This window comes from Homo sapiens, chromosome 6, assembly GCF_000001405.40.
Source record: "Homo sapiens chromosome 6, GRCh38.p14 Primary Assembly".
Lineage (NCBI taxonomy): Eukaryota > Metazoa > Chordata > Mammalia > Primates > Hominidae > Homo > Homo sapiens.
Window position 1 is genome coordinate 103,922,756 of NC_000006.12, and position 27,364 is coordinate 103,950,119.

Genomic DNA, 27,364 nt, shown 5'->3' on the forward strand with positions numbered 1-27,364 from the left:
GACAGAAGAAGGGGCATGCACCTTTATAAGCACAGGTACTATTTACCTTAGTCTCTACTGTTCTTTCACACATAATTCTAGAATTCAACAAAAAAAAAATATGACACACTCACAGCCGGGGAATAAAATAAGTCTTTGTCAAGAGTCAAAATAGACAACAGAACCAGACACAGTGCTGACATACTGAAAAATCAAAGCCTTAAAATTAATTATAATATATGAAAGGATCAAGTGAAAAAAACAGGACAACATGGATGAATAATCATCATGCAATTTCAACAGAGATATGGAAACTATAAAAAGTGCTCAAATGGAAAGGTTAGAATTAAAAAGTATGATATCAGTAATGAAGACTTCTTTAACAGCAGACAGGGTACAACAGTAGACAGAATCAGCAAACCTAAAAGTAGGTCAATAGAAATTATTCTAATTGTAACCCCAAAACAGAGAAAAACATGAGTGGAAAACAAACAAACAAAAACAAAACAAAACAGAAGGTATTATCAAATAATCTTAACCCTGGGCATAAATTGCAGTTTTACTTAAGTATCACTTCTTCCCTTCCGACATGGTGGCAAAATTATGAGACATATGAATACTTGGCTAAAGATTAAATTACCAGCCTACTTTGCATGTAGGAGTAACCATGCAGCCAAATTAGGGTCATCAGATTTCAGGAGATATTGTATGTGTGATTTTTTAGGTCATACTCTTAAAACGAAGAGGAAAGCCCTTCTTTTCCTTTCTATACCCTTCTCAAAAGGCTTAGATGGGGGTATTTCCTTGAGGATGGTAAATAAACAATTTTATAAAAACCTGGGTCCCTGGCACCATAAACTTATCAGGTCAGCTCTGGACTACTTATACTCAGCCTATAATCTGAGATACATATTTCAAGATATTTTTATTTGGGGTATTAATGTAGTAGTAAAACATATATTCTACTGAAAATAAACCCCCAGCTAGAGAAAGCTTAAAGTTAAATTTGGAATTACTTTATCATTTCTGGCTGTAAAACTAACACAGTGTCACCTCACACAGATAATCATCAGAAAATACCAAGAGAATGACAAATTAAGGGGAAAGTCCTTCTTTTCATTTCTTTACTCAACAAACATAGATGTGACTAGCCCAAAATAAGTCTTAATTGTGAGAAAAATATTTAATTAAAGTTTGGACAAATTCAGGCTAACTAGATAGTATAAAATATGTAACACCAAAATTTTAGCTTTCTAAGCATCATACAGAGAAAGATTAGAAACTAATTAAGTAACACAAATATGTTGCTCCTTCACTCTATTAAAGTTAGAGGAAACATCAATTTTCAGAATTGTACACATTTTAAAACCAAAAGTTGAATACTATGATAAACAGCATGTGTAAGTACAGAATAAGAATGTATCTGTAAAACACTAGACACAAACAGTTGTAGATACAAATAACGTACACAAATGTGTAGTTTGGCAATAGACAAATTCCATGAAAAATTTGGTTCTCTGAAGTAATGAATAACTCTAAAATAATTTTAGTTTGTACAAAAAACCTAAAATTATATAAGGCTACAGTAAAATATATATGCTATCTAATGATCTAAATATTGTCCTTTGGAATATTCTTAAGCTTATTCTCAATTCGAATTTAAACTATTATATCAAACTACTAATAAGACTAATAACCTCATTTCTGATTTTAATCTCATTTTCTTCATATAACTATCCACTCACTCATTAAAAACACAATTATTGACTTTTATGATCTGCAAAGCTCTACATTGTGCAAGACAAAACATACTGTATTTCAAAATTTTCCCACACAAGTTATTGATTGATTTAAATATGAGTATATTACATAGTAAAGTAGCTATAAAACAGAAATAAAAATTGTTTTGTAACTGGAAAACAAACCAGCAACATTTCTTCTCTAATTAGATTCCATGAGCAGAGGTATCATCAATAAGAATTGAGAAAGATGTTAGAATGAGAAGGTTCAAGCCGTAAAGCCTTGGAATACAAAAATAGTGCTTTTGTAAGAAAATCAAATACATTATAGGACATAGGAAGAGCACTTATTAGGATGTCAGGAAACCCAGGATTTTTTTCTTGCTCTTCCACTACTTATTTATAATCTTAGAGAAATTACTGTGCCTTAGTTTTCTCATTTGTGAGAGGAAGGTAAATTCTAAAAACCTACATTTTCTTCTACTTCTTTGATAACATGTTATGTTCTTGTGTACAGATGCATTACATACGTGTGGTTAGCCATTTGCTCTAGTCCACTTACCCTGGGTAAATGGGTAAATGGGCTCCCCAGTATTTTTGTATTTTTACCAGGTAACTTGTGACATTGAAGAGCTTATGAGCAAGCAACTTTCATTCCTCTAACATACTAAATGTTTGAATGGCAGTGAGTTACCATCAGTTAACTGCTCTTTGAGTTTTTATGCCATTGGGAATGTTGAACAGAACACCTGCTCCTCTGGAACACAGATAATGAGGATCCAAGAGGCAGCTGGAAGGTTAAGAGCAATCTAAAAACACTTCACAGAGTAAACCTAGTGGGACGGAAGTCTTCACTATTGCCATGCCCTACTAAACTGGTCTCACCAGACCCTGAGAGCCCACAAGTTGTTCCTCATACAGATGCTCTAGTAACTTTAAGGAGCTCTAGTTACAAAAAGTCACAACCACAACATGTCCATTGATTGAACGATGAACAACTTAACTTTTCTTGGTGCATTCTCAGAATGTTTATGGCTGTCACTCTAGAGACACTCAAGTTAGTATAATAGAGGAGGCAAACAGCATGAAGTGGAAATAATGGCCCATGCTGTTCTTTTAGACACAAAGGATTTTGTTTCAAGAATCTTAAATCTTTTATATAGAAAGACACACTTTTCAAGGGGAAGGGTGTTAGCATATTTTATTACTCCGCTTTCAAACACAGAGCAACACAGCTACAGAGGGATTTGGCCACTTACCAAAAACAGGCCAGCACCAGAGTTGGGAATAAAGAAAACTCAAATTCTATTATCACAGAGATATTATATTATTCCAAAATAATGTTACACAAACAAATGTAAATCAAACTGTAAAATCCCAGTGTAAAGACACTTACTTTACAGAAACTTAAAACCTAGGGAAGTTTGACCAATTCCTATGTGAAATTCATATTCCCTGGAAATTATAAGAACACATTGTAATTTGAATATTTCAAAAAAGATATTTACTGCTCCCTTTTTTTAACTTATGAATCAATATTCCACTTCATTCCACAAAGGATTTGAGATATCATACACAACTAAGTATCATTCAATAAAAAGGAGTGGGAAGAGAGAAGAGGACAAATAAATTAAACTAAAAGAAAAATTGTGTTCAAATAGTAAAATAAAAGAAAGTAAGTACATGGTAATGCATGTTATAATGCATGGGTAAACATGGTTGAGACAGCACAAAAGAAATAAAGAACAATTACAAAATTACTTCTCCCACAAGATAAATATATAATACCGGCTTAAAAGCAGCACTAGTTTTCTTTACAATGAGGGTTAAACCATGTTTCCACAAGATTAACAGAAGGTCTAGTCATTAACTGATGAAGTGGAAAAAATTCTTAGACAAACTACAATATACAAAACCCAGTGTCCTGTGAGTTTCTTACAGGCCATAACAGCAGAACTCACTGGAAACTGATTACAAACCCTGTGATGGGCACTGTAGGGGCTATCATGGGAGGTGGTAGTGGACCTCTAAATACATAGCTGTAAAGCTCTGTGATGGTTTTTGTTTCACACAAAAACAGACATTTCTATTTATATAGAATAACAGTTTTTATTTTGAGGCCTAAAGATGGGCTTCAGAGAGGCATCAAGGATTTCTAATATTCAATGCACATTTGCTATTTTTCACATTTTTTGAGGGATAATTCACACCTTCCACTATATTTTTCAGGATCCTTGACCCCAAATGGCCAGCTATGTAGAAAAGGAATTTGGTGAACTACTTATCTTGCAGTTCATATTTCACTGGATTACTTTTTGGAACTGAAGTTATAACGTGTTTAAGGCAGCAGATTAGTGACTGGTGTTATGAACATTGGCAGGAGCGTGAAGTACATGTGTTGTGTTGCTAATTATCTGTATAATTATAGACTTTTAAAGCCTTCTTATGCAGCCAACAGACACATGAAAAAATGCTCATCATCACTGGCCATCAGAGAAAGCAAATCAAAACCACAGTGAGATACCATCTCACACCAGTTAGAATGGTGATCATTAAAAAGTCAGGAAACAACAGGTGCTGGAGAGGATGTGGAGAAATAGGAACACTTTTACACTGTTGGTGGGACTGTAAACTAGTTCAACCATTGTGAAAGACAGTGTGGTGATTCCTCAAGGATCTAGAACTAGAAATACCATTTGACCCAGCCATCCCATTACTGGGTATATACCCAAAGGATTATAAATCATACTGGTATAAAGACACATGCACATGAATGTTTATTGTGGCACTATTCACAATAGCAAAGACTTGGAACCAACCCAAATGTCCATCAGTGATAGACTGGATTAAGAAAATGTGGCACATATACACCATGGAATACTATGCAGCCATAAAAAAGGATGAGTTCATGTCCTTTGTAGGGACATGGATGAAGCTGGAAACCATCATTCTCAGCACACTGTCGCAAGGACAAAAAACCAAACACCGCATGTTCTCACTCATAGGTGGGAATTGAACAATGAGAACACATGGACACAGGAAGGGGAACATCACACACCAGGGCCTGTCGTGGGGTGGGGGGAGTGGGAAGGGATAGCATTAGGAGATATACCTAATGTAAATGACGAGTTAATGGGTGCAGCACACCAACATGGCACATGTATACATATGTAACAAACCTGCATGTTGTGCACATGTATGCTAGAACTTAAAGTATAATTAAAAAAAAAAGAAAAGAAACCAAAAACCTTATAAGTAGAAGATTGAAAGTTATGAAAGCCATGAAGACAGTTAAGAAAAGAAGACTAAGAATTAAACCATTGAGATAGACCCAAATTTTTAAATTATTTAACACAGTTAAATGGGAAAAATAATATATCTACTTTATCAATTATTTTGAGAATCAAATAATTATTGTATGTAAAGTTCTTATAATTTACTATATAGTAAATGCTATAAACATGTTGTTATGATTCTAATTATTATTATTATTACCACTACTATTTTAAATTCTGTATCTTGTGGAAAAGCTGAATAACTACAAGGATGTCTGAGATATTTCCCCTTAAACTTGCTTTATTTACCTTGCACCAAAATAACGAAACTTCCACCTTATATAGCATACTTGTTAGATATTTGATCTAGGATATGATTTCTATCAGGAGATTTTTCTGTACATCAAATTACTCCAACCTTATAAGTTTAAAACCACAATCATTTATTTTTGCCACTAAGTCTACAAGTCAGCTAAGTGGTCCTTTCCATCTGAGCCAGGCTGGGCTGATCTGGGCTACACTTGCTCGTGTGTTTGAGGTCATCAGCAAGTTAGCTGAGTCTGGCTGATCTAAGATGGACTTAATCACAGGTCTGCTGATTGGCCAGTTATTGAGTGGGCCAGAGTTAACTGAACCATATGTAGCTCATCATCCAAAAGGGTAGCTTTTTCATATGGTGGCTCAGGAAGTTTCTAAAGGAGAAAACAGAAATATGCAAGTCTTTTTAGTCCTAAACTTGATATTCATACAATGACACTCATACCACATGTAATGGGGCAAACCAAGTTGCAAGTCTGAACCAATTCCAAGAGTAAAGAAACAAACCACAGCTCTTGAAGGCAGAACCTTCAAAGTTATGTTGCAAAAAGAATGGAGATACAGAGAAGAATGGGAATGTCTTACCATTTTTATCATGTACTACATTATTAAGTAAGAAGTTTAAAAACTCCTCACAATGACCTTCCAAAACTTTGAATAAACCACCTGAAAGAAAAATCTAAATTAAATTAGTATGATGACACATTTAATACAAATTAGATGTAAAATTCTTACTCTATGTGAATATATTAAATAAATAGAATTAATCTGCTATTTAAAATTAGTGAAAATGTTTTGCTGAAATATCTGTCATTTTTTAGGGGATGGGGAGTAGTACTAGGTACTAGAGCCAACCATCAGTTCACCTTATGACCACAACATATAAAAGAATATATTACATTGTATTTTGCCATTATAGAGAGTAACTCATATGGCTAAACCTAAAGGGCTATTGAGGGCCAATATTACGTAGACATTAAGAGTGAAGAATGAAATTAGACTGTCTAAATTCAAATCCTGCTACATCTTAACTAGCTCTGTGACCGTCAGCAAGTTACATAATCTTTCTGAATTTGTTTCTTTATGAATAAAGTAGAAATGATAGAAATACTTATATGGATTTTGTGTAAAGTGAATTAAACAACCCAAGTAAACCTCTTGTGCATAGCACAAGTCCCATAGTAAATTACTCAAGAAATATCGGCTATTTTTTACTACAAATATTAAAATACAATGTAAAAATAAAAGGGTCCAAAAGTGCTGTGAAATATTATTTGAAATTTATTATTTAATTTATCATAATAAGATTCCTATTGACCTCAACTCTAAAGTAGTATGCAAATTAATATTCTAAAGGACTTAAGGAACCAGCTTATGATATGCTTAGTCTACAACCAACTCCTAGCAACAAAGACGTAGGACAAGAAATAATAAATACAATTATATGCCACACAGTATGTTAAAAACTATAGTAGTCAAAGCAGATTTTCTGTAAAGAATTTGGAAAAAGGTCATCACTTCCATTTCTACAGGAACAAACTGAAAATCAAGTAACTATTTTCGACCCATCAGAAAACTGAGTTTTCTGGACAAACCACCACCCCAAAATCTGGAGATACAGGCAAATCCAAAAAATCATAATAGAGATGTGTTTACCTGGAGCGGAGGCCACTTGAGCCATAAAATGATAGAAAAGCTTAAGTGGTTACTTTAACGAATTTCTGCAGGCTGATTTGGACTAGTGAGAGAATGACTCCAACATATTAATAGTGGATTACATTTGAAACAGGTGCAAAACACAGCTGTCTTTAAAGAAGAAGACTTAGAGAAACCCAATGTGAATATAGGAAAGAAATAAGAACACTAGAGGCAAATAAAGCCTGTGGCACCTATAGATGCAGCAAACATTAAATAAAGCCAAATTTCTAGCTAGATTAACATAAACCCTCACACAAGAAGCTTATTTATCTCTAATATATCTTTTTTTTTTTTTTTTTTTTGAGATGGAGTTCCACTCTTGTTTCCCAGGCTGGAGTGCAATGGTGCGATCTCGGCTCACTGCAACCTCTGCCTCCCAGGTTCAAGCAATTCTGCCTCAGCCTCCCAAGTTTCTGAGATTACAGGCATGTACCACCATGCCCAGCTAATTTTGTATTTTTAGTAGAGACGGGGTTTCTCCATGTTGGTCAGGCTGGTCTCGAACTCCCAACTGCAGGGGATCCGCCCATCTCTGCCTCCCAAAGTGCTGGGATTACAGGCGTGAGCCACCATGCCTTGCCTATTTCTAGTATATCTTCTAACTGATAAAACATTTCTATTATTCAACAAAAATTTACAAGGTACACCAAAGGCAAGAGAAACATTCTAAAAAGACAAAGCAAGCATTACAACCAGGATAAGATATGACGCAAATATTAAAATTAACACACAGGGAATTCTAAACAACTATAATTTATATGTTAAAATCTATAACTGCAATTGTGCAAAGACAGCTGAAGTAAGTGGAGATGGAAATTATTAAAAAAGAATTTTTAGAATGCTAGAAATCATAAACACTATAAAACAAAGGAAAATATATTTAATGGGTTCATTAGGAAACTAGACAAAGCTGAAGAAAGAATTAGTGAGCTTGAAGATAAATTAATAGCTTTCCAAACTGAAATACAAAGAGATTTTTTTTTTAAATCCAAGCTCTGTAAGAAGGTTTCAAAGGAATAACATATGGTTAATTGGAATTCCAAAAGGAGAAGAAAGAGAAAATGGAACAGAAAAAATACATAAAGTAATATTGATCAACTTTCCAGTATTAATGACAAACACCAAACCACAGATTCAGGGAGCCCAGAGAACAGTAAACTGAATAAATCCCAAAAACTACAAAACTAATCTACACCTAGCATATCACCTTAAAACTCCAGAAAACCAAAGACAAAGAGAATACCTTGAAATAAGCCTGAAGAAGAAAACACCTTACCAATGGGAGGAAAAAGATAAGGAATATAGTGGACGTCTTATTAGAAATCATACAACAAGAACACCCAGGGAAGATTCTTCTGGACAGTAGTCTAGGCAAATAACTCAAAAGCACAGGCAACAATATACACAAAAAACAGACAAATGGGATTTACTTAAACTAAAAAGGTTCTGTGCTGCAAAAGAAATAATCAACAGAGTAAACAGACAATCTACAGAAAGGAAGAAAATATTTACAAGCTACACATCTGACAGAGAACTAAGATCCAAAATTTACAAGGCATCCCAACCATTCAACAAATAACATATAAATAATTACATTAAAAAGTTGGCAAAGGACATAAATAAACATTTTTCTAAAGAAGATATACAAGTGGCCAACAAGTAAATGAAAAATTCTCACCATCACTAATAATCAGAGAAATCCAAATGAAAACCACAATGAGATATCACCTTATCCTAATTAAAATGGTTATTATTTTTAAAACAGTGAGGATGTGTAGAAAAGGGAATGCTCATACACTGTCGGTGGGAATCTAAATTAGTACAACCTCTACAGAAAGCAGTATGGACATTTCTCAAATAACGAAAAATACAACTATCATTTGACCTAGCAATCCCACTGCTGAGTATCTACCCAAAGGAAAAGAAATTATTATATCAAAAAGATACCTGGACTCATATGTTTATCATAGCACGTTCAAGTTAAGTGTCTAACCATGAATGATTGAATAAAGAATATGTGGTTACCTCTTAAATTTATACCAAAAAAGAAAATGTGGTATATACACACAAATGTGGTATATATACACAACAGAATACGATTTTACCATAAAAAAAAGAATGAAACCTTGTCTTTTACAGCAACAGAGGTGAAACTAGAGGCAACAAGAAACATGTGTCTTAATGAAACAACTCAGACACAGAAAGACAAATCCTGCACGTTCTCACTTTTAAGTGGGATCTAAAGAATGTATACACATAGATGTAGAGTGTGGAATGATAGATAATGGAGACTTGGAAGGATAGGGGTGTGGGAGTGAAGTAGATAATGAGAAATTACTTCATGGGTACAATGTATATTATTCCAGTGATAGATACAGTCAAAGCCCTTACTTCACCACCAAGCAATATAGCTATATAACAAAATTACACTTGTACCCCAAAATTTATATAAATAAAATAAAGAAAAAAGAAATTGTAAAATGACAGACTATAGAGAAATATTTAAAATGTTAAAAGAAGAAATGCAAATCTAATATCCTACATCCAGTGAAATTACCCTTCTAAAGTGAAGATGAAATGGAGACTTCTTCATGCGAACAAAAACTGAGGGTATTTATCACCAGCGGAAATAAATGTTAAAGTATCTTTTTTTAGGCAGAAGGAAAATGATATAGGTCAGTAACTCATGACTACACAAAAAGGAAAGAGTGTCAGAAAATAAATAAAGATAAAATAAAATATTTTATTTGTCTTGTTAATTGACCAAGAAAGATAACATTGTTTAAACTGATAACAGTAGCAATGCATTGAGTGATTATAGTATGTGTGTAAGTGAAAGGAATAACAGCAATGTCATAAGGAATGGGAGGGAGGAATTACAACGTACCTGCAGTACACAATGAGTAGAACAGTATGATTTGAAGGTGGACTTAATAAAAATTTGTATTCAAAACTCTAAGAAAACAACTAAAGCATTTATTTAAAACTGATATAATAAGAAACGAGATAAAATGGAGTTGTGTAAAATGGTCAACTAAACCCCAGAAAATAGAAAAGAAGTATTAGCAACAAATAGAAAACAGATATAAACATGGTATATATTAATCCTAATATCTCAATATTCTATTTAAATGTGAATGGCCTAAATACACACTTAAAAGATAGCATTTGTCAGAGTGGATAAAACATGAAAAGACTCAGTGTTGGCTGCAAGAAACCCACCTTAAACACAAAGGCTCCAGTGAATTCAAAGTAAAAGGATGGAGAAAGATATACCATGCTAACATTAATCAAAAGAAATCAGGAACAGCTATATTAACTTTAAACAGACTTCAATACAAGAAAAATTATCAGGCATAAAACAGCATAATGATAAATTGTTCAATTTTCTAAGATGACATATGATCCTAAACATATATGTACCTGAAAACAGAGTATCAACATAGGTGCAGTAAAAACTGATAGAACAGAAAAGAGAAATGTGCAAATATGCTATTATAGCTGGAGAATTCAACACCCCTCTGTCAGTAATTGACAGATCAAGCAGACAAAAAATCAATAAGGATATAGGTCATCAAAAAAGGACTATCAATCAACTTGGTCTAATTGATATTTGTAGCATGTTTCATCCATCAACAGCAGATTATACATTCTTTTCAAACTTGCATTGAACTTTCGCCATGATATTCCACATTCTGACCACAAATCATATGTTAAGAACTAAAAAGAATATATAATGCCACTCATGGTGGCTTATGACTGTAATCCCAGCTACTTGAGAAGCTGAGGTGGGAGGATCACTTAGGCCGAGGAGTTCAAAGCCAGTATGTGCAACATGGCAAAACCCCATCACTAAAATAAATAAAATCAAAAGAATATAAATCATATAAAGTATGTACTGAGGCCACATGAAATTTAACTAGAAACAAATTAAATTAAAAATGAACAGGACAATAACTAGAAAAATACTCAAATATTTAGAAATAAAACAATTACATTTCTGAATGGACCAAAAAAGTCTCAACAAGTAAAAATGTATTTTGAAATAAATGAAAATGAAAACATAACTCTTTATAATTTGTGAGATGGTTCCCTTTTAAGTAATGCTTAAAGGAACATTTATATCAATAAATGTGTACATTAGAAAAGAAGAAATATACAAAATCAGTAACCTAACCGTTTACTTTAGGTTATTAGATCAAGAAAAGCAAGTTCCTTATAATTATAAGGAACTACTCAATGAGTAGAACAGTGTGATTTGAAGGTGGACTTAATACAAATTTGTATTCAAAATTCTAAGAAACAAAATTCTACTTCCTTTAAGCCTAAAGGAAGTAGATTTTTAAAAAAATCAAAATTGGAGCAAAAGTCATCAAAACTGGATACAAGAAAACATTAAAGAAAATCAACAAGCCCAAAAGCTGGTATTTTGGAATGATCAATAAAATTGAGAACTATCTAGCCAGGCTAACCAAGAAGAAACAGAATGAACACAAATTATCAATATAGAATGAAAGAGAGTCCAAAGATGATTAACCATACCCTGGTTACCAATCCCAGGGGAAGGCTCTAAACTTCCATCCACTGCACGTTGGACTATGCCAACTTCTATCACTTTCAGTAGTCTAGTGAGACAGAACACTCACACATATCCAGTTACATGAAAACCAGCTTATTACTTACAGATAGGCAGCAAGGGACAACAGAAGCGTAAGATTCACAGAGTGCTGGCTCCCCAAGTTCAGGAAAAATGCCCAGGGTGAATAAAGTATTTTCTGCATATACCCATTTGCACTGCAGCCGAGAGACCTCAAAAATCAGCCTATCCTGGGTTTTATGTCCTGGGCTTATGTGAGTTCCTGAGCAAAAGCATTGTAAGACCTGCCATTCTAGAAGGGATGGGAACAGAGCCCAGGCTGTTCCAGCTAGTTCCTCTTTGTCTCAGAATGTTTCATTCCCAGTACATTCTTCGGTTAATTTTGAGAACTACAAGTGAGAAAATGGGGATATCTAGGTCAATCTAAGGCCACCCAGAGAACTGTCTTGCAGAGAGGTGATCACTACTGATCCCATGGACATTAAAAGAATAATGAAGGTATATTATAAGCAACGCTATATCTATAATTTTAATAAATTAATGAAATGGACCAATTTTTTGAAAGACACAAAATACTGAAATTTACACGAGGAGAAATAGATAACATGAATAACTCTGTATCCATTAAAGAAATCAAATCAATAATTAATAACTTCCAAAAAAGAAACCATCAGACTCAGTTTCATCAGTGATTCTACCAAATTTTGAAAATGAAATTTAAAAAGACAAAAACAAATGAACTATTCAATTACAAAAAGATATGAGTGAACCTTAAAAGCATATTTCTAAGTGAAAAAAATCTAGTATGAAAATGGCTACATATTATATGATTTCAATTACAAGGTGTTCTGGAAAAAGCAAAACTGCAGGGCTGGTAAAAAGACCAGTGGTTGACGGGATACTTAGGAAAGCATAGGAAGGGTTAAGTAGTGGGTGGAACAGAGGTGATTTTTTTACTGTGGTGAAACTATTTGGTATAATACTATAATTGTGGATATATGACACTATGAATTCTCAAAATCCATTGGATATACAGCATAAAGAATGAATCCTAAAGTATGCAATTACAAAAATATATTACAGAGGTCAGAGGAATCCCAGGACAGAATACAGATGTGATAAAACAATCTGAATGTATTACAAACATATTATAGACCATAATTGAAAGGGAGGGGGAAAAGACACTGACTTATGTAGCTTTGAAAATAAGTGGAGTTCGTAAAATTAAAGACAAAAGCATATGTGTGCATTATACTCTAGTTGATAACGCTGCTTCTCTTTTTTTTTTTTTTTTTGAGACGGACTCTCGCTCTGTCACCCAGGCTGGAGTGCAGTAGCGTGATCTCAGCTCACTGCAACCTCCGCCTCCCGGGTTAATGCTATTCTCCTGCCTCAGCCTCCCAAGTAGCTGGCACTACAGGCGCCCACCACCACACCCGGCTAATTTTTTTGTATTTGTAGTAGAGACGGGGTTTCACCATGTTAGCCAGGATGGTCTCGATCTCCTGACCTCGTGATGTGCCCACCTCGGCCTCCCAAAGTGCTGGGATTACACGCATGAGCCACCGCGCCCAGCCAACGTTGCTTCTTTTTATGCTACAGGTTAACAAGTCTGATGACGTTATACACATATAATGGAACTGAAGATTTAAGTAAATGTTTGTCGAATGGGAGGAGTCAGGTTTTTCACTATTGGAGTGGGAGTTATAAATATTTCGATATGTAACCATCCATATCTATATTAAGATAAGCAAGTAGAAGAGACTAGAATGACCCATGTAATGCAATAGGGTTGGAGACATCAGTGTTAACCCATGTTTAGCCTAATATAGATATAGATGGTTACATATATAAACATTTATAGATATATGTAGTTATATGGGTTAGTATATACACATACATTTCCTTCCTTTCAGCTTAGAGAGCCTAGAAGCAATGAGATCCAGGAGCAATGAGCACATCTTGCAATCAGATCATGGTTTCTAATACTATTCTCCACTTTTCAAACAAAAAGATATCCTTGTAGTAATGGATAATTCCAGGACCGAGTATATCACACTCTCCCAGAGCAATAAGCATACAAGATGAGCTTGAACCATTTTGTGGCACTAAAAAATAAGAACTTGCTCAAAACAAAAATGAAGGTGGAGGAGGAGGAGGAGGAGGAGGAGGAGGAGGAGGAGAAGAAGAAGAAGAAGAAGAGGCGGAGGAGGAGGAGGAGGAAGGAGGTGAAGAAAGCACACACAGAAAATTGGCAGGGTGGATAGATTAATGTACACAGAAGCCAACTGAAAGGGCCTCTGATGGCCAAAGCTGTGGTAATTTGAGTAACAAAATAAATAAATTAGTACTGATGAAAATTCAAAGTATAAAAGAAATATCAGTGAGCACATATCGACATAAATAAATTATCAAATTATTAAAGAAACTGGGGAAAAGAGAAAAATCTGTGCTGAATTCCTAGCAGATTATCTAAGGACACCCCCTTAAATGAATTATAACTCTCAGCTTTTTAAATGTGAGCTGTGCGCAGTGACTTCCTTCCAAAAAATACAGTTTGGAAAGGGATTAAAAGGTGTAACTTTGCAGTGGAGAAACATGAAAAACACTACTTCAGCAGGTGATAAAGTTCAGCATCAAGAGCCATAAATTGTGCTGAGAGCATATAGCTTTGATATAATGGATGAAAATGGCAGTTTACATCTGCAATCTTCCTCCCCAATTTTCATAACTCCAATCTAGTCATGAAAAAACTATCAGATAAATTCCAGTAGAGTGTATTAGGCCATTCTTGTGTTGCTATAAAAGAAATACCTGAGGCTAAGTAATTTCTAAGGAAAAGAAGTTTAATTGACTCATGGCTCTGCAGGCTGTACAGTAAGCATGACACCAGCATCTGCTCAGCTTCTGTGGAGACCTCCAGGAGCTTTCACTCATGGCAAAGTGTGAAGCTAAAGCAGACATGTCACATGGTGAAAGGAAGCAAAAGAGGAGCAGGGAGACACCACATATAAACAACCAAATCTCTCTCAAGAACTCACTCATTACCATGAGGAAAGCACCAAGACATGAGGGATCCACCTCCAGGACCCAAACAGCTCCCACCAGGCCCCACCTCCAACACTGAGGATTACATTTAAATATGAGATTTGGGTGGGGACAAATATCCAAACTATATCAAAGAGGCATCTTAAAATAGACCTCATCAGCAATCCCCTAAACTGTCAAGGTCATCAAAAACAAGGTTAAGTCTGAGAAATTGTTAAAAAGAGGCTAAGGAGATATGACAATGAAAAGTAATGTAATATCCTGGAGGGAAACCTACAGAAGAAAATGGAGAATAAGTAAAAATTAAGAAAATCTGAACAAATTATTTTATTTAATTAATAATAAGTACTCTCATTTTACTTTAAAAACAATAGAATTACTCCAGATGCTATATTAAGAATACACTGAAAGAGCCCAGGACAGATGTAAGAAGGCCTTTTACAAAAATGAAGAAATTTTAGTGACTCGACCATTGAAAGTAGCCAAAGGTGGGCAGAGCACGGTGGCTCACGTCTGTAATCCCAGCTCTTTGGGAGGCCGAGGGGGATGGATCATGAGGTCAGGGGTTCGAGACCAGCCTGACCAACGTGATTAAACCCCGTCTCTACTAAAAATACAAAAATTAGCTGGGCGTGGTGGCGGGCGCCTGTAATCCCAGCTACTCAGGAGGCTGAGGCAGGAGAACTGCTTGAACCCGGGAAGAGGAGGTTGCAGTGAGCCGAGATCACGCCACCGCACTCTAGCCTGGGCGACAGAGCGAGACTCTGTCTCAAAAAAAAATAAATAACTAAAACAGTAGCCAAAGGTGGTCAGATTTGGAGTATATTTTCAAGATAGTGTTAACAAGATGTATTAGTCCATTCTCACATTGCTATAAAGAAGTACCTGAGACTGGGTAATTTATAAAGAAAAGAGTTTCAATTGGCTCAGGTTTCAGTAGGCTGTACAGGAAACATAGCAGCTGCTGCGTCTGGAGAGGCCTCAGGGATTTCCAATCATGGCAGAAGACAAGGGGCGAGGAAGAGGTCACGAGGCAGGAGCCAGGAGCAAGAGACATAGTTGGGAGTTGCTACATACTTTTAACCCCTTTCCCATCAGCACTGAGTATACTCACCAGTGGCCCTTGTGGTTGCAATGTTTGCCCCAAGATAACTTTGCCACAAAATATCTCACTTTGATTGTTATTTTCACATCGCTCTAGCATATTGACTTTGGAAACAAAAGGCATCATTCTATTTATAGCATTCTGTTTTTAGTAGTGGTATTTCCATTTACAAAATATAGTAATCATTGATCACTGAAAATGTCAAATCCTAGAAAACAGCACTCCTACGTGTGATGTTGACATCATTCTCAAACAGCTGTTGGCCAAAGATTAATTTAATGAACCTGATTTTTCCAAAATAGATGATTCTGACGTTACTTCTGTTTAGAAATAGCTCCAAGAACATTTTTTTTTTTGGGGGGGACGGAGTCTTGCTCCGTAGCCCAGGCTGGAGTACATTGGCACGATCTTGGCTCACTGCAAGCTCCGTCTCCCAGGTTCATGCCATTCTCCTGCCTCAGCCTCCCTAGTAGCTGGGACTACAGGTGCCCGCCACCACGCCTAGCTAATTTTTTTATATTTTTAGTAGAGATGGGGTTTCACCGTGTTAGCCAGGTTGGTCTCGATCTCCTGACTTCGTGATCCGCCCCCCTCGGCCTCCCAAAGTGCTGGGATTACAGGCTTGAGCCACCATGCCCAGCCAAGAACAGTTTTTATATTTTATTTTCACATTAAAAATCAGTCAGGTTTGCTTCAGCTTCAAAGAGCATGTTTAGTGAAATTAAAAGAGCACTGCCAGTGATTTGCAGTTTTATTTTTGTTAAACAGGAAAAGGGTTAAATGACCAGATCTCATGAGAACTGATTGTCATGAGGACAGCATCAAGGGGACGGTGCTAAACCATTCATGAGAAATCCACCTTCATGATCTAATTTCCTCCCACCAGGCCCTACCTCCAACACTGGGGATTACAATTCAACATGAAATTTGGGTGGAGACACATACCCAAACTATATCACAATATTAGCAAATGAAAAGATTGACTTGCCATTTACTAAGCTGGAGAACACTGTGAGTTCACCATGAAATATTAATTCAGCCATAAACAGGAATGGATTACTGATACAACATGGCAGAAGCTTGGAGACATTTTGCTAAACGAAAGAAGCCAGACACAAAGGGCCACATACTATAGGATCATATTTATATAAAATTTCTAGAATAGGCAAATCCATAGAAATAAGCAGATTGGTAGTTACCAGTGGCAGAGGAAGGACAAAAGTGGGGAATGACTGCTAATGAGTATAGGGTTTCTTTTGAAGTTGATTTAAAAATTCCAAAATTAGATAGTAGTAATAGAAAGCTGGTGGCATTAAAAGTTTAGTTTTGGATATATGTTTGATATGTAGATTATAAATAAGGGAGTTGAGAATGTAAGTGAAGATACTAGAAGGCAGGTAAATATCTGATTCTTGAATTTAGGGACTGGCCTGAGCTGAAGATGTAAATGTAAGAGTGGTCAGTATTTTCAAAATCTTGACACAGAAAGAAGTCATCAAGAATCAAGAGAGTAAATGGAAATAGAAAAGGAAAGCGGTCCAATGACTAAGGCCTTGTATACTCCCATGTTAAAAGGTCAGGGAGAGGAAGTGTAGATAGTAAAGAAGAATAAGAAAAAAAGTATAACTACTATAACAGCTAGAAATCAAATGGGGACAGAATTATCAACCATGTCAAATACTACAGAAAGTTTAATAAGATGAAGTCAGAATTCACGCTTGGTTATAGGAATTTTGTTAGAGGGTACTGGTGAAATTGATTGAAATAGTTTGATTGAAGATGTGTGATATAGTTTGAATATATGCCCTTGGCAAATTTCGTGTTGAATTGTAATTCCCAGTGTTGGAGGTGGGGGCTGGCAGGAGGTGTTTGGGTCATGGAGGAGGATCTTTCCTGGCTTGTGCTGTCCACATGATAGTGAGTGAGTTCTTATGAGATCTGGATTTTTTAAAGTGTGTGGCACCTCCCCCATCTCACATGCTCCTACATGTGAGATGCCTGGTCCCCTTTCTCTTTCTGCCATAATTGGAAGCTTCCTGAGGCCTCCCAAGAAGCCAGGATGATGCTGGTGCTGTGCTTTCTGTACAGCCTGCATAACTGTGAGCCAATAAAACCTCTTCTTTAAATAAATTACCTGGCCTCAGGCATTTTTTATGGCACTGCAAGAATGGCCTAACACAATGTGAGAGAAGAATCCTGATTATAGTGATTGAAGAAACAATGCTAGAGGAGGAATTAGTGAAGAGGATACTAGGAAACTCTTTCAAGGAATTGGCGTTTTAAAGGAAAGAGAAAAATGGGGGAAAGAGAAAAAAATCCAAAGGAAATTTATGTTCTCATTTGTTGATGTTACCACTGTACACAGGGAAACAAAAGAACTCTTATAGAGAGATGAGAAACATCGAATTGAAAAGAGTATAGTTGCAAAAGGGAAAAAACAAATTGCTAGAATATGCTCTTGAGTCGACTTGAGGGGATGGGATCTCATGCACACATAAAGAGCAACTTAGAGAAGTACACTAAGAGTTCATCCGCTGTAACAAGAGGGAAGGGAGAGTCTGTGGGCATAGATGGGTAAATGTGGTGAGGGGGCAAAAGTTATCTTTTAAGTTTCTCTAGTTTTCTCATGATATAAAGAACATGCTCATCAGCTGAGCGATGGTAGAATGATTTTAGAAGTCTATGAAAGAGAAGAAAGTAACAAATTATCTTGAAGAGTGGGAGATTAATTGACATGGGAAATATGAGTGCCAGACCTCATACTGATCATGAATCTAAGATTAGACAATCAGTATGTATCTGTGTTTGTTTTGTTTTTCAGCCATGTTCAGTTACAAGAATGTATGCCTGCCATAGGAGAAAATTTGATTTTAACCGAGGTTGTGTTTTAGTCAAGAGAAGAGCTTGAAGCAAGGGAAGTGGGAATATAATCAAAGAAGTAAATGTAGTACTAAATTATGAAATTTATGATTAATAATAGGAAAGAGAGAAAGTAATGTCTAAAGTCATAAGATCAGTGAATTTTGCATTTACTTGGTCAGAGGTTTATTGGATTTGGGCTAGGAGAGGGAAGGAACTGGAAAGACAGAACAGGGTGGTCAGAAGAACGGGATGCTTCACTGTGAGATTTTAGAGGGGATATAGTTATTTTTAATGACAAGGTCTAGAACATGGCATGAAAGTGAGCAGCTGATGACAGGATTGCAGAAGCAGAGAAGTTTAAGGAACAAGAGGCTAGGGGATTGGAATAAGAATCTACATTGATTTTGAAATCTCCAAAAATAAAGATCTAGCCTGTGTTAGAGTTGTGCTAAGTCATGAACCAAAATCATTAAGAAACGAAGACAAGTGACTAAAATGGGAAAGGAGGCAGGTCAGGATAAGTAGATGACTTATGACAAGGCAGGATAGTAATAACGTTTCATGACAAGAGCATCATGCAGCTGGCTTTTAGAGATAAGACAGGGAGAATTACTGGAAGTTGGAAAGAGGAACAAGAAAAAGACCTTCCCATCTCCAAGCCCAAAGGTCCAAGAGATGCAGCAAAGAACATACACCACTTAGAAGTGATGCAAAGAAGCCAGGCGTGGTGGCTCACGCCTGTAATCCCAGCACTTTGGGAGGCTGAGGCGGGTGGATTATGAAGTCAGGAGTTCAAGACCAGCCTGGCCGAGATGATGAAACCCCGTCTCTACTAAAAATACAAGAAAAAAAAATTAACCAGATGTGGTGGCAGACACCTGTAATCCCAGCTACTCGGAAGGCTGAGGCAGAGAATTGCTTGAACCCGTGAGGCAGAGTTTGTGGTGAGCCGAGATGGCATCACTGCTCTCCAGCCTAGGCAACAGAGCAAGACTCCATCTCAAAAAAAAAAAAAAAAAAAAAAAAGAAGTGATGCAAAGAAAGCAGTGTCTTTAGAAGAGAGATGGGTTTCAACAGAGAAAAGCAAGAAGGTGAAGAAAATTTCACAGAGTAAAAAGATACAGGGAATGACCCAAAAACACAGTGAAAGTGTTTCAAGAGATGAAAACAGGAATTGCACAAAACTCAGTCAAGATTGGAGTCTATTGGAAGAGAAATAGCATAGTGACCTTCACAAATAAAAACAATGGGCATGATAAAACGGGTCTTGAAAATTGCAAGGCTGAGGATAGGCCTGAGTAGTGAGGGTGCATGGATAGGGCAGTTAGCTTCTCATATATGTGCTCCTTCTTGACCCCTTCTAATGATGTTGTTTATCAGTGTGTTTAATTGACCATTTTAATCATCCATACAATAAAATGAATATTAGAAGACTCTGAGCTATACAGAAATTAGTCAGAATGTTCTAGCATTGCAAACCTGGAAAATTAATCCTACTATTAATAAGAATCTAGGCTTTTATGATCTCATACAGTAGAGGCCTATTTGCCAATAATATTCTAGAATTTGCTTTAAAAAATAAATTGTATTTTAGTGCTATCATCTCTAAGTTTAAAAGGTTGAGATCAAAAACAGAAAAAAATATTTATTTTCAGATCAGACACCTGCTGCTTCCAATTTAGATACTGGGTAAAACTATTGGAAGTGAAAACAGCAGAGTGAAATATACTGTGTTCTAACCTCCCTAATTAACAACAGTCAGTTCTGAGCAAGCTTATTCAGGTCTCCTTTTCTTCATCGAGCTGACCAGGGGAGACCTTCAAGGCAAAATGTGTGAGCCATTAAAAAAAACTTCAAACAACAGATAAGCACTGAAGTCTTTGAAGAAACTGTGAACACCCTCTGGGGAGAAAATTAGACTTGTGAACTTAAAAAATGGCACACAAACATTTTTACACAAAACCGAAGACAGAGGTCAACAGGGATATTTCCAACTGAAGATTGCCTGTTGAGGAAGAAATTAGTTTTGAACATCAAAAATAAATGAACAAAGGGAGCAGAAAACAACATTAAATTAGGGTCTTTTCCTCAAGAAAAAACATCTCCTAACCCTCCCTCCACACAAAAGCACTAATCAAGCTTCCTTATTAAAAAAGAAAATCTCTCTTCAAGTAAGAAAATCAAGCTATGGAAAACCATAATAAAAAAGAGCTGTTTTTATAAGGATCTCTATATTGTTGCCGGAGTCAAAGTAGCTAATTTTGACTGATCTCTTGTTCCTAAGTAGATAAGCTTTATTATCTTATTTGCAACTTATGTCTCATACCATTAATTTATCACTTCATCATTCAATTTTGAGCTTTAAGTATAAATGTAAAGTCTTCAGACTAAGCACAATTGACGCCATTTTGTAGGTCATGATGAAAGGTTTAGGTTTAAGTCTGCTGCAATCACAGACCTCCAGGGAATGTATGTAGGGGGACCATTCAAAGCAAGTGCTCTTTTTTCATTACTATGAGGCTTCCTCTAAGGCCTGGGCAAGTTTCTTCTCTGTTGGTTGCTCCATAAATTAGGAAAATCCTTTCAGCCTAGATTATAAAGATGGTCTCAAATATACTTGCTTTGAAGACCCTTGTATTTGTTTGCTAGGGCAGCCCTAATAAATTACCACCAACTGGGTGGCCTAAACAATAGAAATGTATTGTCTCACTTCTGAAGGCTATAAGTCTGAGATCAAGGTGTTGGCAGGGTTGGTACCTTCTAAGGGCTGTGAGGAAAGGCTCTGTTCCAGGCCTCTCTTCTTGGTTTGTAATGATTAGACCATTTCCTTTCCTTTCTTTTTTTTTTTTTTTATTATTATACTTTAAGTTTTAGGGTACATGTGCACATTGTGCAGGTTAGTTACATACGTATACATGTGCCATGCTGGTGTGCTGCACCCACTAACTCGTCATCTAGCATTAGGTATATCTCCCAATGCTATCCCTCCCCCCTCCCCCCATCCCACAACAGTCCCCAGAGTGTGATGTTCCCCTTCCTGTGTCCATGTGATCTCATTGTTCAATTCCCACCTATGAGTGAGAATATGCGGTGTTTGGTTTTTTGTTCTTGCGATAGTTTACTGAGAATGATGATTTCCAATTTTATCCATGTCCCTACAAAGGACATGAACTCATCATTTTTTATGGCTGCATAGTATTCCAAGACCATTTCCTTTTCTATTTCCATTTACTCTCAAGCCTCTCTCCTGTTGGCTTAGCCACAGGATGGCCATCTTCTTCCTGTGTCCTTACATAATCTTCCTTCTGTATGTATATGCATCCAGATTGCCTCTCTCTCTTTTTTTTTCTTTTTCTTTTCTTTTTTTTTTTTTTTGCTTTTCTTTTTGTGTTTGTTTGTTTTGTTTTTGTTTTTTGAGATGAAGTCTTGCTCTGTTACCCAGGCTGGAGTGCAATGGCACAGTCTAGGCTCACTGCAACCTCTGCCTCCCAGGTTCAAGCAATTCTCCTGCCTTAGCCTCCCGAGTAGCTGGGACTACAGGTGCGTGCCACCACACCCAGCTAATTTTTGTATTTTTAGTAGAGACGGGATTTCACGATGTTGGCCAGCCTGGTCTCAAATCCCTGACCTTGTGATCTGCCCACCTCAGCCTCCCAAAGTGCTGGGGTTACAGGTGTGAGCCACCACACCAGGCCCAGTTTGCCTCTTTTTCTAAGGACATCAATCTTATTGGATTAGGACCCATCCTAATGACCTCAATTTAATTACATATTTAACAGACCTATCTCCAAATACAGTTACATTCTGAGGTATTGATGTTTAAGGCTTCAACATATGAATTTTGGAGGAATATAATTCAGCCAATAACAACCCTGTTAAAGAAGTTTGAAAAATGTACCACCTCTCCTTCTCACATTAGCATTCAATTTTTTTCTCATTATGTTTAAAGAAGGTTGTTTCTACTATATTTTACTGAAAATTTATATATAAAACTGTTAATATAACTTTTAGGCATAAACAATAAAATATATAACTGTCCACGTGTTCTCATTATTTAGCTCCCACCTATAAATAAGAATATGCAGTACTTGGTTTTCTGTTCCTGCATTAGCTTGCTAAAGATAATGACCTCCGTTTCCATCCATGTTACTGCAAAGGACATGATCTCATTCTTTATATGGCTGCATAGTATTCCATGGTGTATTTGTACCAAATTTTCTTTATCCAGTCTCCTGTTGAAGGACATTTAGGTTGAATCCATGTCTTTGCTATTGTAAATAGTGCTGCAATAAACATGCATGTGCAATTGTCTTTATGATATAACTAATTATATTCCTTTGGGTATATATCCAGTAGTGGGATTGGAGGGTCAAGTGGTAATTCTGCTTTTAGTTCTTTGATGAATCACCACACTGCTTTCCACAATGGTTGAACTAGTTTACCTCTAACCAATAGTGAATAAATGTTCCCTTTTCTCCACAACCTCACCGATATCTCTATTTTTTTTTATTTTCTAATAATAGCCATTCTGACTGGTGTGAGATGGTATCTCATTGTGGTTTTGATTTGCATTTCTCTGATGGTTAGTGATATTGAGCAATTTTTCATATGCCAGTTGGCCACACGTAGGTCTTCTTTTCAAAAGTGTTTGTTCATGTTCTTTGTCCACTTTTTAATAAGGTTGTTTGTGTTTTTGCTTGTACATTTGTTTAAGTCTCTTGTGGATTCTGGATATTAGACTTTTGTCAGATGTATACTTTGCAAATATTTTCTCCCATTCTGTAAATTGCCTGTTTACTCTGATTCTGATGACAATTTCTTTGGCTTTGCAGAATCTCTTTAATTTAATTAGGTTCCATTTGTCAAATTTTGCTTTTGTTGCAATTGCTTTTGGTGTTTTTGTCATGAAATCTTTGCCATTTCCTATGTCCAAAATAGTATTTCCTAGGTTATATTCCAGAGTGTTTATAGTTTTAGGTTTTACATTTTGGTCTTTAATCCATCTTGAGTTGATTTTTGAATGTGGTATAAGGAAGGAGTCCATTTTCAATCTTCTGCACATAGCTAGTCTGTTATCCCAACATCATTTATTGAATAGTGAATCCATTCTCCATTGCTGGTTTTTGTAAGCTTTGTCAAAAATCAGATGATTGTAGGTGTGTGGCTGTTCCATTGTTCTATGTATTTGTGTTTACCAGCACCACAGTGCTTTGGTTACTGTAGCCTTGTGGTACAATTTGAAGTTGGGCAATGTTATTCTTCCAGCTTTGTTCTTTTTGCTTAGGATTGCCTTTGCTATTAGGTCTCTTTTTTGGTTCCATATGAATTTTAGAACAGTTTTTCTAGTTCTGTAAAGAATATCATTGGTAGATTGATAAGAACAGCATTGAATCTGTAAGTTGCAATAGGCATTATGGCTATTTTAACAACACTGATTTTTCTTATCCATGAGAATGAATTGTTCTTCCATTTGTTTCTGTCATCTCTGATTTCATTCAGCAATGTTTTGTAATTCTCATTGTAGAGGTTTTTTACCTTCCTGGTTAAGCTGTATTCCTAGGTATATTCTTATTTTTGTGGCAATTGTGAATGAGAATTGTGTTCCTGATTTCACTCTCTGCTTGGGTACTGCTAGTGCATTGGAATGCTACTGAGTTTTGTACATTGATTTTATATCCTGAAATTTTGCTGAAGTTGTTTATCAGATCAAGGGGCTTTTAGGTAGAAATTATGGAATTTTCAAGACATAGAATCATGTCATCTGTAAACAGGGATAGTTTCACTTCCTTTCTTCCTATTTGGATTACTTTTATTTCCTTCTCTTTCCTGATTTCTCTAACCAGGATTGAATACTATATTGAATAGGAGTGGCAAGAGTGGGCATCCTTGTCTTGTTCTGGGTTTCAAGGGGAATGTTTTTGGCTTTTGCCCATTCAGTATGATGTTGGCTGTGGGTTTCTCATAGATGGCTCTTATTATTTTGAAATATGTTTCTTTAATGCATAGTTTATTGAATGTTTTTAACATGAAGGGAAGTCGAATTTTGTCAAGAGCCTTTCAGGCATCTATTGAGATAATCATGTGGTTTTTGTCTTTAGTTCTGTTTATGTGATGACTCACATTTATTGATTTGCATATGTTGAACCAAACTTGCAAACCCAGTGATAAAGCCTACTTGATTGTGGTTGGTTAGCTTTTTCATGTGCTGCTGGATTTGGTTTGCTGGTATTTTGTTGGGGATTTTTGCATCTATGTACATCAAAGATATTGGCCTGAAGTTTTATTTTGTGTGTGTGTGTCTCTGCCAGGTTTTTGATTCAGGATAATGCTGGCCTTATAAAATGAGTTAGGGATGAGTCTCTTCTCTCCATTGTTCTGGAACAGTTTCAATAGGAATGATACCAACTCTTCTTTGTGCATCTGGTAGAATGTAGCTGTGAATGTGCCTGGTATTGGGCTTTTTTTGATTCATAGGCTATTTATTATTGATTCAATTTTGGAGCTCACTATTGGTCTGTTAATGGATTTAATTTCTTCCTGGTTCGGTCTTGGGAGGATGTATGTTTCCAAGATAAGGGCAATGATATGGTGCTTTTATTAAAGGAGGCTTCTTTGGCACCACTACTTAAATATTTTCTTTGTTTATCATCCAGAAGATCTCAGGTTGTGAGAAAGGTAAAAATTATTTGGGAAAGTAGGAGAAAGCAGAGTTAGAAAGAAGAACCAGCATGATGCCTCTACCCCAGGCTCTTCAAGAAAACATGTAGAAGTTGAGAATCTGAAAATAGACATTCTTAAATCTGTGCCTGATCACCCACTTGAAAATTTTCATGTGCCACCAAAAGTGTGCTTACCTCATGTGAAGAACATTTGTACTAGTCTATTCTCACATTGTTATAAAGAACTTCCGGAGACTAGGTAAATCATAATGGAAAGAGGTATAATTAACTCACAGTTCTGCATGGCTAGGGAGGCCTAAGGAAACTTACAATCATGGCAGAAGGGGAAGCAAACACATCCTTCTTCACATGGCAGCAGGAGAGAGAAGTGCCGAGAAAAGGCGGAAAAGCCCCTTCCCCTTATAAAACCATCAGCTCTTGTGAGAGTTCACTATCACAAGAACAGCATGGGGTTAATTGATCCCAGGATTCAATTACCTCCTACTGGTTCCCTCCCATGACACATGGAGATTAGGGGAACTACATTTCAAGGTGAGGTTTGGGTGGGACACGGCCAAACCATATCACCATTGTATTAGTAGAAGGCATAAATGACTTATTTTCTATATGCCGTTTTGCATGGAACCCACTCTGGTCTTGCCTGCTTTTCCAGAGCAAGCTTGGGACAGTAGGGAAGGATTGCTCACAAAGTAGGGAAGATTATTCCCATGAACAAAGCCATGGGACACACTTTGCTTTATCAGTTATGTACTGCTTCAAATGAAAGAGAGGAAAAGTCAGCACAGTGCAATATAATAACTCATAGAAGACAAGACTGGGGATAAGGCCAATCAAGAGAGCAGAAAATAAGAGGATTAAATTTGTTCCTGCTACTGCCAGTACCCAGGATTGGCTTGTTTGTCCTTGTACCTTCCTCTGGGAGAATGAGGACAGAATAAGTGAAGGGAACCTTAACTTGTCCCTAAAGTCTGGAGTTGCTACAAGCAAACTAGCATGCTGCTAAAGCAAACAAACCTGGGATTAAACGTTGCTATCAGTAACAAGCTGTTTGACCTAAATCAGGTTACTACTCATCCTCTTTCTTTCATCAGAATAATATGGATAATAATAGTACCTGTCTTCATATTTTGGTGAGGTTTAAATAATTAGGCTGGGCGCGGTGGCTCACGCCTGTAATCTCAGCACTTTGGGAGGCCGAGGCGGGTGGATCATGAGGTCAGGAGATCGAGACCATCCTGGCTAACATGGTGAAACCCCATCTCTACTAAAAATACAAAAAATTAGCAGGGTGTGGTGGTGGGTGCCTGTAGTCCCAGCTACTCGGGAGGCTGAGGCAGGAGAATGGCATGAACCTGGGAGGTGGAGCTTGCAGTGAGCCGAGATCGCACCACTGCACTCCAGCCTGGGTGGCAGAGTGAGACTCCATCTCAAAAATAAAAAATAAAAATAAAAAAATAATTAAAATTTGCAAATGTTCTGCATGATGCATGGCATACTGTAGATGTTCAGTCAATCCCAGCAACTATTACAGTGCTCATATCTACTTATTGAAATTCAACTTATATTTCCAACTCATTCAAAGGATAGCTCTTCTTTAGAGCTACTACCATCTTCACTCCTTCCCTTAGCTAGTCAATCCAGTCTGTGTGAGTCAGCAGCACTTTATTTATACCTTTGTTTTAGCAGTGTTTCCCAAACCTTACTAATCCTCATAATGTCCAGAGAAGTGTATTGTAAAATACAAATCTTATGCATCTATATTTTGATTCAGTGTATCTCAGCTGGGATCTAAGAATACACATTTTTAAACCCTCAACTGCTATTTCAATAACCAGTCAAGTTTAGGAAACCCTGAACAAAATAATGTTCAATACCTTATTCAAACCTGAGGTCACATAAAATTAAATTTCTGATACTTTAAATGCCCATTTCAGTTCAGTTTACTTTTGTCTAAAAGACAGAGGAGTGAATAAATGAAGCTGATAGAAAAGGAGTTTCAGTTTGAGGTTAGTTTTTGTGTAAGAGAAGGGTGAGTTCTACTTCATACACATTGATTTCAACTT